Raw genomic sequence first — 19,161 nt, forward strand, 5'->3', positions numbered from 1 at the left:
ATACATGTGCCATGTTGGTTTGTGTACCCATCAACTCGTCATTTACATTAGGTATTTCTCCTAATGCTATCCCTCCCCCAGCCCCCCACCCCTCGACAGACCCTGGTGTGTGATGTTCCCTGCCCTGTGTCCATGTGTTCTCATTGTTCAACTCCCACCTGTGAGTGAGAACATGTGGTGTTTGGTTTTCTGTCCTTGTGGTAGTTTGCTTAGAATGATGATTTCCAGCTTCATCCATGTCCCTGCAAAGGACATGAACTCATCCTTTTTTATGGCTGCATAGTATTCCATGGTGTATATGTGCCACATTTTCTTAATCCAGTCTATCATTGATGGACATTTGGGTTGGTTCCAAGTCTTTGCTATTCTGAATAGTGGCCGAATAAACATGTGTGCATGTGTCTTTATAGTAGCATGATTTATAATCCTTTGGGTATATACCCAGTAATGGGATCGCTGGGTCAAATAGTATTTCTAGTTCTAGATCCTTCAGGAATTGCCACACTGTCTTCCACAATGGTTGAACTAATTTACACTCCCACCAACAGTGTAAAAGCATTCCTATTTCTCCACATCCTCTCTAGCATCTGTTGTTTTCCTGACTTTTTAATGATTGCCATTCTAATTGGCGTGAGATGGTATCTCATTGTGGTTTTGATTTGCATTTCTCTGATGACCAGTGATGATGAGCATTTTTTCATATGTCTGTTGGCTGCATAAATGTCTTCTTTTGAGAAGTGTACAAAAGCCAAAATAGACAAATGGTATCTAATTAAAGAGCTTCTGCACAGCAAAAGAAACTATCATCAGAGTGAACAAGCATCCTACAGAATGGGAGAAAAAGCTTTGCAATCTACCCATCTGACAAAGGGCTAATATCCAGAATCTGCAAAGAACTTAAACAAATTTACAAGAAAAAAACAACCCCATCAAAAAGTGGGCAAAGGATATGATTGACTCCAATTTTGAAAGAAGTTCTACCCTAGATAAAATGCTATCAAACAGCATCACATACTGCAGATAAATCTTTCATAGAAAGTAGAGTCAGTCAATGCAGCAGACTTCACTGATGTCTTATTTTAAGAAATTGCTACAGTCATCCCAAGCCTTCAGCAACCACCACCCTGATCAGCAGCCATCAACATCAAGCCAAGACCATCAAAAAAGAATACAACTCCTGAAAGCTCAGATGATTGTTGCATTTTTTTAAGCAACAGATTTTCAATGTAGGTGAAACAGCCTTCTAATAAAAGAAGATATCATCTAGGACTTTCTTAGCTAGAGAGGAGAACTCAGTGCCTGGCCTCAAAGCCTCAAAGGACAGGCTGACTCTCTTGTTAGCGGTTAATGCGGCTGGTGACTAAGTTGAAGCCAGTGCTCATTTACCATTCTGAAAATCCTAGGGCCCTCGGGATTTTCAAGGTATAGACATTGTTTTTTAAGACATAATGTGGTTAAACACTTGATAGACTACTTTAGAGTATAAACATTTATATGCACCGGGAAACCAAAAGTTTTGTACGACTTGCTTTATTGCGATCTTCACTTTATTGCAGTAGCCTGGTACTGAACCTGCAGTATCTTTGAGGCATGCTTGTGTTTGATAGAGTTCACCGTTGAGACCATCAGAGCCTAGTGTTTTCTTTGTGGAGAGATTTTTTATAAAGTTCAGTTTCTTTGAATTATGTGGCTAATCGGGTTGTTTTATCAGTGTTTGTAATCTGTGTCCTTTTAACAAAGCTGTCAAATTCAATGGCACAATTTTATTCATTGTTATTCTTTTTATGCTTGGTTGGTAGCAATAGTCCTCATTTTATTCTGCATATTGGTAGTTTGTGTTCCGTTTATCAGTCTTTTGAAGGATTGAACAAAGAACCAACTTTTGGCTTTGTTACTTATTTATCTTTTCGTTGATTCCTGCCACACAGTTATTTTCTGTCTTCTACTTTGAGTTGAATTTGCATCTTTTTCTAGTTTCTTAAGACAAAAATTTAGATAATAAATTTTAAACCTTTCTTCCTTTTTAATAAATACATGTAAAGCAATATATTTCTCTCTGAGCATTACTTTAATTACGTGTCACACTTTTTAGTATGTTGCATTCTTTATTATTTAGTTTAAAGCACTTTTGAATATTTTTGTAATTTCCACTTTGGCTTATGAGTTATTTGAGAATGGGTTATTTAATTTCCAAGTATTTGGGAGCCTTTTCTTTTCTTTTTCTTTTTTTTTGAGACAGGGTCTCACTCTGTCACCCAGGCTGGAATACAGTGGTATAGTCACAGCTCATTGCAGCCTTTATGTCCCTGGGCTCAGGTGATCCTCTCACCTCAGTCTCCTGAGTAGGTGGGACCACAGATGTGTGCTACCACACCTGGTTAATTTTTGTTTTTGAAGACATAGGGTTTCGCCATGTTGCCCAGTCTGGTCTTGAACTCCTGGGCTCAAGCAGTCAGCCTGCCTTGGCCTCCCAAAGTGCTGGGATTACAGGCATGAGCCATGGTGCCTAGCCCCTTACTTATATTTAGTTCTAACTTAATTATGTTGTAGTCAGAGAACACAATCTGTAAGATCCCAATTTTTAAAAATTTATTGACTTTTTTTTTTTTTTGGTTCAGTATATGTCTTGTCTTGGTGAATTATTCCATGTGCATTTCTGGGTGGGGTTTTTTGTTTGTTTGTTTGTTCGTTTGTTTGAGTCCAGGTCTCACTCTGTTGCCCACAGTGAAGTGCAATGGTGTGATCATAGCTCACTGCAGCCTAGAACTCCTTGGTTCAAGCTATTCTCCCACTTCAGCCACCAGAGTAGCTGAAACTACAAGCATATACCACCATGCATGGCTAATTTTTTAAAAAGTTTTTATAGAGGCAGGGTCTTGGCTGGTCTGATGGTAGTGGGTTATCAGAATTTATTAAAATTATTAGTGTCACTGAAGTTAGTATACAACCCCCCACTGCTGAATCTAACTAGTTTTTTTAAAAAGGAAACAAATTTAAAAATATATACAGTGTGTAGAGATGGGGTCCTGCTGTGTTGCCCAGGCTGGTCTTGAATTCCTGGCCTCAAACAATCCTCCTGCCTCAGCCCCCCAAAGTGCTAGAATTATAGGCAGGAGCTACCAAGCTTGGCCTCCTACATTTGAAAAGAATGTGTATTTCTCAATTGTTGAGTGTAGTGTTTCATGAATGACAATTAGGTCAGGGTGGTTGGTAACATTTAAATATTTTATATCCTTAATTAATTTTTATCTAGTTGTTATATTGATTCCTGGGAGAGATGCTAAAATTTTTTCAAAATTAGCCATGCATTTTCATCTTAAGAAAACAGATGCTAAAATCTGAAACTGCAGTTTTTGATTTGTTCATTTCTTCCTTTAAATGTTAGTATTTGCTCTTGTGTCTTGAGGCTCTATTACTACTTGCATATACATTTATATAGTTCTGTCTTCTTAGTGAACCTTTTATTGTTACGAAATGTTCCTATTTACCTCTGATTGTATTCCTTGTCTTAAAGTCTATTAAATTGACGTTAAGGTTGCCATTCTAGTAGTCTTTGGTGTTTGCACGGTATATATTTTTTTCCTTATTCCATTTTTGTATGTATCTACTGATTTTTATAATAAAAAAATTGTATAAGGAACATTCTGAATGGTAGATGATAGAGATTATGCATTCTGATTTGTTCCTTTAGAGAGAGTTTAGTTCTGGCTGGCAGTTACCTTGGTCAATTCAGTCTTCAACATTGCACTCCACTCATGGTAGAGCAGCAGAAATCTCTAATCTCAGTTACTGAGTTTTTCCAGCTTCCAGCTGCACCTTTTAGCTTGATCCCGAGGTCTACTTCATGCCTGTAGTTTATGAGCCAGCCAAGGATTTCTAGAGATTTGGGGGCTCATCTCTTTCTGGTTCCCTTCCTTCTGATGGTCCCCCTTCCAAATTTCCCCCCCAGGTTAATGTCTGCTTCTTTATCCCAGAACTCTCTCTTTTGACCACCAAAACTGCTAGTAACACTTTGAGCCCCTTGCTGGTGAATGGGGGAGTGCCCTTAGGCAAAACATAAATAAAAATCTTACATGTATTTTTTCAAAGTTATGCTTTCTGATTAGTAGACAGTTGACAGTAGACAGTTGGCAGGCAGGGAAAGGTAGACTCTTCTTTGATTTCTCTCTGGTGTTCATTCATTCATTCGTTTGTTTGTTTGTTTATTTATTTATTTATTTTTATTGACAGTGTCCCACTCTGTCGCCCAGGCTGGAGTGCAGTGGTGTGATTATAACTCACTACAACCTTGAACTCCAGGGGCTCAAGCGATCCTCCTGTCTCAGCCTCTCAAGTACCTGGGACTGCAGGCACATGCCCCATACCTGGCTAATTTTTACTTTATGTTTTTGGAGACAGGAGTCTCACTGTATTGCCCAGTCTCATCTCAAATTCCTGACCTCATGTGATCCTCTCACTTCAGCTTCCTTAGTAGTTGGGATTACAGGCACAAACCACTGGGCCTGGCTCAGTATACCTGTTCTTTTTTTCGTTTTTAGTTCATTGATGTTTAGTTCAGCTTTTATAATTACATGTGTGACAGTTGGTCCAACCATGGTACTCTGTCATTATAAGAAACTAGAACCCCCAAATCATTTTATTTAATGTTTAAGACATAGATTTTTTTTTTATTGGTAGACTTTATTTTCAGAACAGTGTTAGATTTTCAGAGAAACTGGGAATATAATACACAGAGCTTCCATATTTCCCCTTGCACACAGTTTCCCCTGCTGTTAATATCTTACATGAGTATGGTACATTTGTTACAACTAATAAACTGGTGCTAATGCATTATTATTAACTAACATCCATTGTTTATTGAGATTTTTAAAGCTTTTCCCTAATGTCCTTTTTCTGTTCCAGGATTCCATTCAGAATATCGTATTAGCTGGGCACAGTGGCTAACACTTGTAATCCCCACGACTCAAGAGGCTGAGGCAGAAGGATCGCTGAGGCCAGGAGTTCAAGAACATCCTGAGCAACATAGCGAGACCCTGTCTCTACAAAAAAAAAATAATGATAATAACTTGTAAAAAAGAGAATATCATATTACATTTAGCTGTCATGTCTCTTTAGGCCCTTCTTGGCTATGACAGTTTCTTAGACTTCCTTGTTTTTGATGACTTTGACAGTTTTAAGAAATATTGGTTAGTATATTATAGGGTACCCCTTGATTGGAATTTATCTGAAGTTTTTCTCATGAATAGACTGGACTATGGGTATTTGGGAGGAAGATCACAGAGGCAAGGTGGCATTTTCATCACATCAAATCAAGGGGTACACGTATTGCCAACAGTGTTTGGGACTGCTGATGTAGACCTTGATCACCTGGCTGAAGTAGTATTTGCCAGGTTTCTCCACCGTAAGTTACCTCCCCCCTTACTACTGTAAGTAGTACTGTAAGTCAGGACTGTACTGACTCCTTGGAAGTCACTCTGTGCAGTCCACACTTAAGAATGTAGAGTTTTGCTTACTTTTGCCTGTGTTCTAAATTGAGATTTTTTTTCAGAAACCTAAATTCTGTTAGACATAGATAGCTTCCAAGTTACATTGTGTGTTGATTCATTCTTTGGTTTATTCATTTAACAGTTAACATGTTTAGTTAATGTACTACATGCCAGTTACTGTGCTTGTTTTCTGGTGGAGTATAAGACTTTTTAGGAAATTGTTTCTGTCCTCAAGAAGCACAGCCTATGTGTGTGATGAATATACAAGAAGTAAGCGCCATCATTAGGATACTTTCAGCTCCAAAATAAAAATACCCATTTAAGGTGGCTTTAATAATAAATGAAATTGTTGCCTCACACTCTAAGGAGGTCTGCCCATCAGCCTGTTGTACACTTGCTTCAGTGATTCAGTGAATGCCATTAAGTATTTACGGCCTTTGCATACTCCTCCTCTGCCATTTCCTGGTGTGTTGACTTTTGAGTTCAGATGTTTCACGTCATGGTTAAGAGTTTTGGATATCACAGTGTGTGCAACCTGTATCCAGACAGGAAATGGCCCTTCTCTCATGCTTTCTTCCTTTTATCTGGGAAGAATTTCTTCCTTAGAGGTCTCCCAGTAGACATCTCTTTGACCCCAGTTGGATCACATGGCTACCCCTAGTTAACACTGGAAGCTTAAAAGCAAAATCTGACATTTTAAACCTCTGATGTGGCAGGAGGCTTTGTCTGCCAGGAATAAGCCTGACAAAGGTAGTGGTTATTGGATAGGTAGAAACAGGAGCTGCCATAGGTGGACTAGAAGCAAATAGATAAGGACAGGGTATAGTTGACCTTAATCAAAAGGCAAAGGTGAAGTATACCTCCTAAAGGCTAGGCAAGTCTCCGAGTGGCTGACTTCTATCTGACCTACGTTTTAAAGAATGAAGTAGAGGAATATGATATGGGTAAGACAAAGCATTGCAGACACAGCAGACTCCAAAGATGAAGGGAATTTCTTAGTGAAATGAGTTCCGCAGGGCACAATGGAATGGTTTTGAGGGAAGGAAGCAGAAGGAAAATGAGCCCAGGTGAGGGCAAATGCAGTAGATGGTAGAGGACTGGTTGAGGAGAGATGTTCTGAAGGGCCTGTGGGCCACAAGGGGCAAGAGCCAGGGATGGAATTCTGTGGTCTTGGAAAGTTGCTTTGGTTCCAGAACTGGCTGGTGCTTTCATGGTAATCAGCATTCTTAAAAGGTATTGGTAGCTCTTAGCGCTCAGCACCCTGAAAGGCCTGCTCACCTCACATGTTGGAGCAGTGTTTCCAGGAGACTTTCCTGTAGTTGATGGTGAGCTGCTTCGAGATCAGAGCTTTGACTGCACATGTTTAAAATGACAGTCCTTTAATTAAAATTTCATCCTGTAAGCATACCAGGCCTTTGTGGCTACTATAAATATATTTTAAAAGAAAGGTTACTTCTACCTTGCATCATCATGAACAGAGTTTCTGCTTTCTCTGTCATCTCTATAGCCATTTGACAGAAGCTTTCAAAAGTGAGTCAGATTTTTCCCCCCACAATTAATAAAATTTTTATATCTTTAATTTTTCCTTCTGGAAAGGAAGAGGAGGCTGCAAAATGGGCCCGGGAAGAAGAAGAAGCCCAGCGTCGATTAGAGGAGAACCGGCTGCGGATGGAAGAGGAGGCAGCCAGACTCCGGCATGAGGAAGAAGAACGGAAGAGAAAGGAGCTGGAGGTCCAGCGGCAGAAGGAGTTAATGCGCCAGAGGCAGCAGCAGCAAGAGGCTCTCCGGAGGTTGCAGCAGCAGCAGCAGCAACAACAGCTGGCGCAGATGAAGGTAAAGCCCGAGGCATCAACCTTAGGAGCTCCTTGCTAACATTTTTTAGTTAGGTAGGTGCTGGCTGTACCAGTAGCAGTAAAACTGTTCTTTCTTTCTTTTTTTAATATTAAAATATTTTAAATTATTTATTTATTTTTGAGACTGGGTCTCACTCCCATCACCCAGGCTGGAGTGCAGTGGTGCGATCTTGGTTCACTGTAACCTCAACTTCCTTGGGCAGCTCATATGATCCTCCCACCTCAGCCTTCCCAGTAGCTGAGACTACAGGCATGCCCCACCACACCCAGCTAGTTTTTTATATTTTTAGTAGAGATGGTGTTTCACCATGTTGCCCAGTGCTGGGATTACAGGTGTGAGCCACTGTGCCCAGTACTTTCTTTATCGTTGAATATTAGTACTTTGGTTTTTTGATCATCAATAAGATACATAATGCACATACTTTGTATTAGGCATTTAAATGAGAGAGGAGTAAACAAGAGGATAGGACATGAGCAGCAATGCAGGCAAAACAAGTAAATCTGTTTGGTTTGTAAATTTAATGTGGCTCAGTAAACACTGGAGTGCCTATTCCATACCAGTTCAGCGCTGCTGAGACAAACATAAATGAGACAAGGCAGTTGCTCCCAGAGAGCTCACCAACTTAAAAATATAGGCATGTAAACGTTCAGATGTGTAAATGGGAACTAGAATATAGGGCTTGAAACAGAGTTGGCCATAGGCATTTATTGAAAGTTACATTAAGAGGTGATATATACAAAGTGTTGTTTTAAAGAGGATTCAAAACTTTTTTTTTTTTTTTAATAAGGAGAAAGTAAATACTGGGAGCCTAGTAAAGAGGCTGTGTTGGTGCTGGTGTGAATGAATAGGAGAGGCCAGCAGGAGGGAGCTGGCCTGATAGCAGTCAGCAAGAATTAATTAGTCTCTGGAGCTGAGGGAGGAAGGCAGAAGCTGGGGTGCCTGCCAGATAAGTTTCAGTGACTGAGAAGATAGTGGAACTGTTGATGGAATTGGAGTAATTGGGAAGGGAGGAGCAGACTTATGGCAGGTTCTGCATAACTTCATGCTGGGTCTGCAGTGCGCAGTAAGGTTTAGTGTCCCCTATCTTCAAGTAGCTCACAGGTTAGACACATAAACAGGCAAGTAGAATACAGTATGGTGAGTATAGTGGGAGAGGTGGCATGGAGTCAGTCATTCTCAGAGTTCCGTCACTTGGGAACTTGTGAGATGTGCAGATTCGCACCCCAGACCTATTGAATCAGAACCTCTAAGGGTGGAACTGAGAAATCTTGTATTTAAACAAACCCATGCTCTCTAAAATGTGAGAACCACTGTCCATCTGGGAAGTTTGGAGAGGCTTCTTGAAAAAAGGTAACTTCCAAACTGAGTCTGGCTTTCAGCATTTTTACTATGACGTGTCTGTTTGTGGATCTCCTTGTGTTTAATCTACTCAGAATTCATGGTGCTTCCTGGATGTATAGATTAATGTTTTTCCATAAACTGGAGAAGTTTTTAGCCATTATTTCTTCAATTGTATGTTCTGTTCCTTTCTCTCTCTCCTTCAGGCACTTGAGTGATGCTTATGTTGATGCACTTCATGCACTTAATGGTGTCTCATTTCTCTAAGGCTCTCTTCAGTTTTCATGTTCTTCTCTCTATTCTTTGTGTAATCTGTATTGATCTATCTTTAAGTTTCTTTCTTTTGCCAGTTCAGATACACTATAGTGTACCTCTAGTGATTTTTTTTTTAACTAAAAGTTTTTTATATATATTTAGGGCATGCAAGTGTAGTTTTCTTAATAGCATATATTGCACAGTGGTGAAGTCCAGGCTTTTCGTGTACTTATCTCCTAAATAGTGAGCATTGTACCCAGTAGGTGATTGTTCAACCCTTACTCACCTCGTATTCTCCCAGCTTTGGGGGTCTCCAGTGTCCATTATTCCACTTTGTGTGCCTGTTTGTTTAGCCCCCACTTATAAGTGAGAACATGCAGTATTTGACTTTCTGTTTCTGGGTTACCTTACTTAGGACAATAGCCTCCAGTTCCATCTGTGTTGCTGTGAAAGACAAGATTTCATTCTTTTTTGTGGCTGAGTAGCATTCCATGCCTTATATAAACACCACATTTTCTTTATCCAATCCTCTGTTGATGGGCAGTTTTTAATTTCAGTTATTATACTTTGGTACTCCAGAATTTCCTTTTGGTTTTTTAAAAAATATCATCTATCTCTTTATCAATATTCTTTATTTGGTGTGACACTGTCATCATACCTTCCTTTACTACTTTAGTTATAGCTTCCTTAGGTTCCCTGAACAACTTTTATAACATATGCGAAGTCTTTGTGAAATCTGACATCTTGTTCACTCTCACAGGCAGTTTTTGTTGCCTGCTTTTTTCCCCAGTGTATGGGTTATACTTTCCTGTTTCTTGCATGTATCGTAATTTTTTATTGGCAGCTGGACTTTTTGATAATGTCTTCTAGCAACTCTGGGTATCTCCACCCGCCCTTCCCAGCTTGATTTTCTTACTTGTTTGTTTATTTGTTTTGTGACTGGATGGATTATTTTAGTGGAATCCAGTTCTCCCCTCCTCCCCCCGACCATGTTGAAGCCCTTGCTCTTGCCCATGTTGGGGATATAGCACTGGGTGTGCCCAGAGTGACTCCGAGGTGACCGTGGGTTTGGCAGGGCTCTCTTTGATTGTCTTTTCCACACCCAGCTGTTTCACTCCACTTATTGCTAGCTGATTGCTCTGTTGTTCTTAACCCATTTCCCGTTTGCCCTGAGAATATCCCTGGTGGTGCGTGTGGCTGCAGCGCTGACCCCGAGATAACTCTCGGATTACAGTCCTAACCTTACCCCTAAATGCTTTTCAGAGAATTATATCCAAACAGCACTGATGCAGTTAGGACAGCTTGTTGGAACAGAAAACAGATGCCAAATGATCTAGGAAAAAAAACCTGCGAGTTAGCCCTGGGTAAACGCTGCAGCTGCACATGCTGCCAGCAAATATTCTCGGGGCAGATGGGAAATGGGTTAAAATTGTCCTGGGCTGGGTGCAGTGGCTCACGCCTATAATCCCAGCACTTTGGGAGGCCGAGGCTGGTGGTTCGCTGGAGCTCAGGAATTCAGTACCAGCCTGGGCAACATGGTGAAACCCCATCTCTACATATATATATATATATATATATATATATATATATATATATATATATATATATATATATATATATATACATATATATACTTATATATTTATATATATAAATATAAATATATATAAATATAAATATATATAAATATAAATATATATATAAATAAATTATTCAGGCGTGGTGATGTGTGCCTGTGGTCCTAGCTACTCAGGAGGCTGAGGTGGGAAGATCACTTGAGCCTGGGAGACAGAGGTTATAGTGGGCCAAAATCATACCACTGCACTCCAGCCTGGGTGACGGAGTGAGACCCTGTCTCAAAAAAAAAAAAAAAAAAAAAATCCCTTGGGGCATACACTGACAGACTGATCCACTTAAATTCAGGTTTCTTTGAAGAAATAGCTCCTGAGGTCTATATATGAAATTTGTTTTGACTCCGGGAGGATTTCTTCTAGTTTTCTTTAACTAGTTTTCTCAGATAAGGTAGCAGCCTCCTACAGTTTAGCCTGTATCTCCTATGAATCTACCAGTCTCCTCCTAATTGCCTTTTATCCCAACTTCTACTGTTTCTGAAAACACCATTAGGCTTGAACTCATCCACTGTCTGTTGCAAATAAAGTCAGTTCCTTTGGGAAGAAACCTGGAGCTTTCTGTTTTCTACCTGTTTCCTACACCACTACCCTCAGACAAAAATCTCTCAGTCAGCTCTGGAAGTGGGCACAGTGGTCTGCTTTCCTCTAACATTTGCTGAAGGGTGGGCAGAATAGTAGCCTCAGGTATTCTTGGCTTGCCTCTCCTGATGGCTTGGCCCGGCCAGCTGCATTGGTGATCACGACCCTAGTGTTGGTGTTGCTGTGGTCAAGTTTCCATCCTATGAGTGGGGCTGGGCACAAGAAGAGAGCCTCCACATCTGTTGCACTTGTTTGGAACTTAGCATTTGTCACAGGTGACTGCCATCAGGGTGAGACACACCGATGTGCTTTTCCCAGGAAGAAAGCCTGCTGACTGATGGCTGAGGGGAGAAGGGAAGCCGTGTCTTGACTGTACCAGTCTAGAGTGGAGTTTCTGTCTCATTAAGCTGGGAGGAGAGAAGGAGAGTAGGTCTTGGTTTAAGTATCACCAACTCTTGCTGTTCTTACTGAGTTTTAGCAAATATTCTTGAATAAACTTTTTTTCATTTGCTGTATGCCCTTAGGAGTATTTCCAGAGACTTTATTTATTTTTTTGAGACAGGGTCTGGCTCTGTCGCCCAGGCTGGAGTGCAGTGACACGATCTCAGCTCACTGCAACCTCCGCCTCCTGAGTTCAAGCGATCCTCCTGGCCTCAGCCTCCTAAGTAGCTGGATTAAAGGTGTGCGTCACCACACCCAGCTACTTTTTTTTTTTATTTTTAGTAGAAATGGGATTTTGCCATGTTGGCCAGGCTGATGTCAAACTCCTGACCTCAAGTGATCCGCCTGCCTCGGCCTCCCAAAGTGCTGGGATTACAGGTGTGGGGCCCTGCTGCCAGCCAGAGAGTTTAAATGATTATTTTAAAAATGATCTTCACCAGTTTTGCCAGGGAGCAGGTCCACGCAGCTCCTCATGCTGTCATTCCGACAGTGAAACAGTTATTTCTTAAAGCAAAACCAGTGTTGAAATGTAAGGTAGCAATGTCAGCGCAGAACAAGAAGAGTATAGTTTTAAAAATCAATGAAGGACATTAGGCATTCGGGGGTCCCTATTTGCTTTTGATTTGTCAAAAGTTTGTTCTGAGAAGCATGATTGACACACTGCAGTTCTCCTGAGTGGGCATTATAGGGTGGGCTGGTAAGTGTCATGAGGCAATGTTGAAAGAGCTCTGGGATATTATTTCCGATGTACAAAGAAGACTTAAGGAAAATGAAAGCTATCAGCAGACATAAGTCTATATAAGGAAGACTTAACTTTGGTCTGTAGAACAGACCTATGAAATATAGAGTATATATTTTGTGTGTATATATACCTAGAGAAAGAGCGTGTGTATGTATATGTATATGTGTGTATGTGTGTGTGCATGTGTATATATATATATACACGCATATGTATGTGTGTGTATATAGAGAGAAATAGGGAGTCAGGCCAGGGAGGAGAGAGAAAATAAATATATTTTGGCACAGCAATAGGAAGATTCTCAGAGGTGCCCGTGAGGATAGATGGCCATTTCTGGAGGCACTGCCTCTATTCCCAGTGCTGGCTGAGTTCTGCTGAAGCGGGCTTGAAAGATTGTTTCCTGATTACCATGGGGTGACACATCTACTGTGATTTTAGACAACATCAGTGGTTACTGGCTGCATCAGAATGATTAAAATATGCTGATTCTCCTGCCTTCCCTTCTGATCTTCTGATTGATTAGGTGTGGTGGAGCCAGGGCCTCTACATTTTTATAGGTCCCTTCAGGTTATGCTGCCAGTTTGAGATCTACTGCCTTACTTGATCTTGATAGTGCCTTCAAATGAGTCATTTCCTGTGGAGACAAAGTTAATTTTTGCTCAGTTTTGCCTCTCAACACCTCCCTCCCCCAGTCTTTGTTAACTTCCCTCTGCACCCCTCCCCCACCCCAGGGCAGGTGCATTTTGAGAGAAATGCCCTATTGTCTGTCATATTGGCTAAAAAATGTTAAGAGTTGATTATGTTCAGTAGTGTTGAAGACATTCATTTGAAGAGTTGTTTGGCAGTATCAGTGATGGTTTAAACTGTTTATACCTTTTATCCTATCAATATCCACTGTTATAGATTTCTGCTGTAGGTCCATTCTTTTGGGGACTGTTTGGCATTTTATTTGTTTTGATCTATGTTCATGTATTATTTTTATTAAATACATTTTTTAAGTCTGGTTAGGTTTCTTTTTTATTGTGTTCGCTTGTTTGATGCCTCAGTATTAAAAGTGTGTCTTTTTCTGGCCAGGAAGAGCAAGGGGTTCTCTGAGAATAATCAGGCTTTGAGAATATTGAAATATTCAGGACCTAGATATTTATACTCTATTTTAGTCAATAATCTTAAGGGATGGGAAAAATAAAATTATTGATTAAAAGCAGCTTAATGCTCATGACTAGAAGCTACAGCCTGGTTAACAGTGGCTCCCTTTCATAAAGGCTGATCAAGAACTATGCCAGCATCTCTCATGAGATGAGAAATCTCATGGTGCTACCCTCAGAAATCGTGTCCTTAACACTTTCACTGGACAGCAGCATATCATGTCCTTTGTTGCTTTCGTCAATTAAAAAATCCTTAAGCCAATTTAGTGATTCTTTTGTTTACTCCTCTTTATGGTTGTATATTGCTGTTTATGTCAGTACCAGATGTAACAAATTTGTTGTCACCAAGAGGTAGATGAAATGTAAGTGTGTATGTGTATTATAAGTTGTTTTAAAATAAACTTAGGTTTGGAGCAGTGACAAAAACTTAAGCAAAAGAAGCTGAGAGGATAGTAAGTAAAAGCAATGAAGAAGGAAATTTGAATTGAATGTGGTAAATGGAGTTGAGAGAAATGCATTTGTTCTGGGTATACATAATGCATTATTGCTTCTTTGTTTCCTGTCCACATTTCCTCATGAACTTTCTGGCCTTCCCTTTTTTGTTAGCTTCCTTCTTCTTCAACGTGGGGCCAGCAGTCCAATACAACAGCATGTCAGTCCCAGGCCACGCTGTCGTTGGCTGAAATCCAAAAACTAGAGGAAGAACGAGAACGGCAGCTTCGAGAAGAGGTAAAATTTTAAAGTAAAAGGGATCTAGTCAAGCGATGTTCCAGAATATCTAGCATGCATTATGGGTTAGTGGTTACTGAGGACAATTACTGTCAGAATTGTTGTGTGTCTGAATTGGACGTTCATTATTAAACTTCAGCCCATAATTTGGTTACCCTAGCAAATGTGAAGGATCTCATAGGTATAACATGAAGATTGAGTAACATAACTGTTCAGTTTTCTTAAACATTTTACTGTAGTTCTTGAGAAGACCTCATAAATAAAACTACACGGGTTGTTCAAAATTGTGGGTGAGTTGTGTGCAGATAATCTTTTATAAGTCTGATGTCTAGAAAGCAGAATATGTTTTTCTCTAAAGACACTGGGTTCCCTGACTAGTCTAGAAAAATGTGACAGAAATAAAGTACCTCTGCTTTTAAGTGTATATCCTGTAGTTCATCATTAGGGTAGGAAGGATACAAAAGAGTATAAAAGGGAAGGGGAATAACACAGCTTTTGACAGAGAGGAGAAAATGAATAATTTTCATAGTTTGGTTCAGTATGCCATTCGGTGCTCATTCATTCATTCATTCATTCATTCATTCAACACATGTTTACTGAGTACCTACTCACTTAAGGTCTGGGGATATAGCTGAGTCTAAAACAGGCAAGATTTTCTGCATTCATGAAGCTGACCCTCTGATTGAGAAGAGAAAAGTAGAAAATGAAGCGTATGAGAGGTTGATAAGTGTCAGAGAGGTAACAAGGGAAGGTGGGTAGGGAGAGTGTTGGGAGTCAGGGATAATGATGGTGTGGTGGATTGTCCAAATTTAGGTAGTGTGTTCTGAGAAGGCCTCTGAAAAGGTGACATAATATAGCAGAGTCTTGAAGATGCTTTATGTGGATATGATTTGAGGTAGAGCAGTCAATTTGTTAGAGAATGTAAGTTGTCATTTTTGGATCTGGGTCATGTGGTTCACTGAAATTAGGAGGGCTTTGGATACACAAGGAGAAATAGAAATTGTCTATATGTGTTTACCAGGTAGTGTGCTTGAAGTCATCCAGTAAGATAAGATGTTTCTTCACACTTGAAGATGACCTTATTTCCCACCTTTATTTAAGAAAAAAAAAAAAAAGAATTGAACTTTCTCTGGAATCATCTTTCTCTAAAAGGTTATCAACAAATGGATGCAGAACAGAGTATGTCTCTCCCTTCAAAGCTAGAAATTATTCCACTAATTTTGGTCCCTACTGAATGAGAAGATAATAATAGTGGTAATGACAAGGAATCACAGGTCTTCTCCTGTCTACCAGAAGTTAATAATTATTTCATTCGTGTTTTCTTTTTCTTTTTTTTCTTTTAGAGACTGAGGCTCGCTCTGTCACCCAGGCAGGAGTGCAGTGGCGCGATCTCGGCTCACTGCAGCCTCCACCTCCTGAGTTCAAGTGATTCTCCTGCCTCAGCCTCCCGAGTAGCTGGGATTACAGGCACTTGCCACCACCACCAGCTATTTTTTTTTTTTTTTTTTTTTTTAAGTATTTTTAGTAGAGACGGAGTTTCACCATGTTGGCCAGGCTGGTTTCAAACTCCTGACCTCAAGTGATCCACCCGCCTCGGCCTCCCAAAGTGCTGGAATAACAGACATGAGCCACCGTGCCCTGCCTTCATTTGTATTTTCATTTAATTTTCTTGGAACTTTTAAGTCTCCCTGTACCCTTTATAAGGGTGCCTCTTAATACACATTTCACATATTTCTTACGTAGAAAAACCCAAGATGATTTTATTTCATTATCATCCCTGGAGGCATCCTTTCTGGGGGCCTCTAACCTGTTCCAATCAGGACACTCTCAGCTTGCTTTATAGCTGCTGTTTTGTTTTTCTTGAGTTCCTGTTATTTACATGTTTCTCCCAGGACTGATTTTGATTTTCTCATGTTTTTTCTCCTGTTTTCCATCTCTGTGCTTTTATCTTTTTTGATAAGATCTTGCTGTGTCTCCTGGGCTGGAATGTAGCTAGGACTACAGGTGTGTGCCACCATGCCTGGCTAATTTAAAAAAAAATTTTTTTTTTTTTGAGACGGGTGTCACTGCATTACCTGGGCTGCCCTCAAACTCCTGAGCTCAAGCGATCTTCCCACCTTGGCCTCCCAAAGTGTTGGGATTATAGGCATGGGCCACCACGCCCTACCCTTTTTATCTTTTCTATGGGGCATTTTCTCAGTTTTACCTGCAGTCCTTCTATTGGGCTTCTCCTGTTAGAGACAGGGTCTTGCTCTGTCACCCAGGCTGGAGTGCAGTGGTGTGATGGTAACTCACTGTAACCTTGAACTCCTGAGCTCAAGTGATTCTCCTGCCTAGGCTTCCCAAAATGTTGGGTATTACAGGCATGAGCTACCACACCTGGCCCTGTTGAGCTTTTAATATATGCTATATCAAACATCTGTGAGTCCTTATTTTGTTCTTTAAGTATTTTTTATAGCCTTTTATTGTTTCATTAAATGCACCATCTTACCTCTCTAAGGATATTACTTACTGATAGCTTCTTAAAAAGCCAACTCCTATTTTGCCGTTCTCTTATTTCTATTTCTGCTGAATTATTTTTGTTTTGGTCTTTGGCTTTTATGTTAGAAGTTTATGTCAAATGTTTGGTAATTCTGGGCTGTTTGTTCCTATTTACAAATAAGGCACTCAGAAGCTGATTGGAGGTTCTGGTATGTACAGCACCTTGATGGGCTTTCCTATAATAGATTCTGGCTGGGTTGTTCTGTTGGGGACCTCCACCCCCACCCCCACTCCAATTTGTTGGTACCTACTTATAGGTGTGTTCTCTTGTCAAGCTGGTTGGCTTCCCCACAGGATAATGTGCCAGTCTGATTTGGCTTCTTCAGACAGGGAATGTTCGGTTTTCTGCTGTGGTGAGGGAGAGTGAATTGCCTAACTGCACAGAGTGCGGGAGGCAATCTGGAGTCTTACTGCTTCTTTTTACAGCCTTTCAACCAGTCTTCCTCTGTTTGAGAGACTCAGCACCTCCAGTTCCTGAGCCTTCTTTGTGAATCTGCCTGTTTCTGAGCTCCTTTACTTAGATTTCAATTTATTAGGTCTGTTACATTGGTTCTCATTATTTATCTGCTTTTCAGATTTTAAAAAATCTATTCTGTTTTCTTTGTCCTCATGTGTTTATGCTGTGTGTGTGTGTGTGTGTGTGTGTGTGTGTGTGTGTGTGTGTGTGTGTATAATCTGTCATTTTGGTGGGGGCTTTAGGAAGTAAACATGTGTTTTATTTCTGTGCTTAACCAAAAGCCTACTTAATTTTTAAGAAGTAATTCTGGCCAGGCTCGGTGGCTCACTCCTGTAATCCTAGCACTTTGGGAGGCTGAGGCGGGTGGATTACAAGGTCAGGAGTTCAAGGCCAGCCTGACCAACATGGTGAAACCCCGTCTCTACTAAAAATACAAAAATTAGCCAGGCGTGGTGTGGTGGCAGGCGCCTGTAATCCCAGCTACTCAGGAGGCCGAGGCAGGAGAATTACTTGAACCCGGGAGGCGGAGGTTGCAGTGAGCTGAGATCGTGCCATTGCACTCCAGTCTGGGCGACAGAGCGAGACCCTGTCTCAAAAAAAAAAAAAAAAAAAGTAATTCTGAGGCCGGGCACTGTGGCTCATGCCTGTAATCCCAGCACTTTGGGAAGCCGAGGTGGGCAGATCGCTTGAGGCCAGGAGTTCGAGACCAGCCCGGCCAATATGGTGAAATCCCATCTCTACTAAAAATACAAAAAATTAACCGGGCATTGTGGCTTGAACCTGGGAGGCGGAGGTTCCAGTGGGCTGAGAGTGTGCCACTGCACTCCAGCCTGGGCGGAAGAGTGAGACACAGTCTCAACAACAATAAAAAAAGAAGTAATTTTGCATTTCATGTTTTTATTCTCCTTTTTAATACTGTTAGCGATTTACATTTTTATTTGCAACAGCAGAATTTAATCCCATCAAGTTAATTTTATGTAGCTACTGTGTATTTACATTCCATTTAGTATACTGGATATTTATAACTATTATCTAAAAACAGGAATCCTCAGCTAGCTTCTGTTTTTATGCAACAGCAAAGGCGCCAGCAGAGGGAGTTGATGAAAGCTCTTCAGCAGCAGCAGCAACAGCAACAGCAGAAACTCTCAGGTTGGGGGAATGTCAGCAAACCTTCAGGTACCACGAAATCTCTTCTGGAGATCCAGCAGGAAGAGGCCAGGCAAATGCAAAAGCAGCAGCAGCAGCAGCAGCAACACCAGCAACCAAACAGAGCTCGTAACAATACGGTGTGTGCATTTTCCTAAGCTGTCGTTGTATGGACTAGTATTATCTTTTCTGACTGTCTTCTTATCTTTTTAACATGATTCACGATAATCATTTTTCTCTTTTTCTTTAACAGCATTCCAACCTGCACACCAGCATTGGGAATTCTGTTTGGGGCTCTATAAATACTGGTCCTCCTAACCAGTGGGCATCTGACCTAGTCAGTAGTATTTGGAGTAATGCTGACACTAAAAACTCCAACATGGGATTCTGGGATGATGCAGTGAAAGAGGTGGGACCTAGGAATTCAACAAATAAAAATAAAAACAACGCCAGTCTCAGGTAGGGCTCAAAATGACCACACCTATGCACCTTGGTTGGTTGGGAGGTGGGGATGGAGGAAGTGGGATGTTGGGTGGGCAGGAAAAGGTAGTTATTGAGTTTTTGCTTACCGTTTTCATCTGTGTTCAAGCACATGCAGTCATAATTATGGTGATTGCTTTCTTCCCCATAGAAACACATTCGTATTATTTCTTGGGGCTCCTGCTGAGCACTTATTCTATCGCCTAGCACATGGTAACCACTTAATAAATATTAGGAATAGTATAATGTTTTTGTTGTGTTGTTGAACATTTCTCCAAGGTATTCTCTAGATACCTTAGCATTTTTCCTATATTTGTATTTTTAAGTAATTTATGCTATT

General features: G+C 40.6%; 1 protein-coding gene across 5 annotated transcripts in view; it reads left to right on the plus strand.

Moving 5' to 3' along the window:
- Nucleotides 1-19,161, plus strand: part of GIGYF2 (GRB10 interacting GYF protein 2) — a 163,275-nt gene that overhangs the window by 128,444 nt on the left and 15,670 nt on the right. For all 5 annotated transcript variants that reach the window (NR_103492.1, NM_001103146.3, NM_015575.4 and 2 more), the window contains 4 exons: nt 7,083-7,319; nt 14,075-14,197; nt 18,272-18,481; nt 18,595-18,800. Coding sequence is in view for 4 of the 5 variants with exons in the window: in NM_001103146.3 (NP_001096616.1) it covers nt 7,083-7,319; nt 14,075-14,197; nt 18,272-18,481; nt 18,595-18,800 (776 nt within the window). In the remaining variant the exon portion in view is untranslated. The remainder of the gene's footprint in view (nt 1-7,082; nt 7,320-14,074; nt 14,198-18,271; nt 18,482-18,594; nt 18,801-19,161) is intronic.

This window comes from Homo sapiens, chromosome 2 (assembly GCF_000001405.40).
Source record: "Homo sapiens chromosome 2, GRCh38.p14 Primary Assembly".
Lineage (NCBI taxonomy): Eukaryota > Metazoa > Chordata > Mammalia > Primates > Hominidae > Homo > Homo sapiens.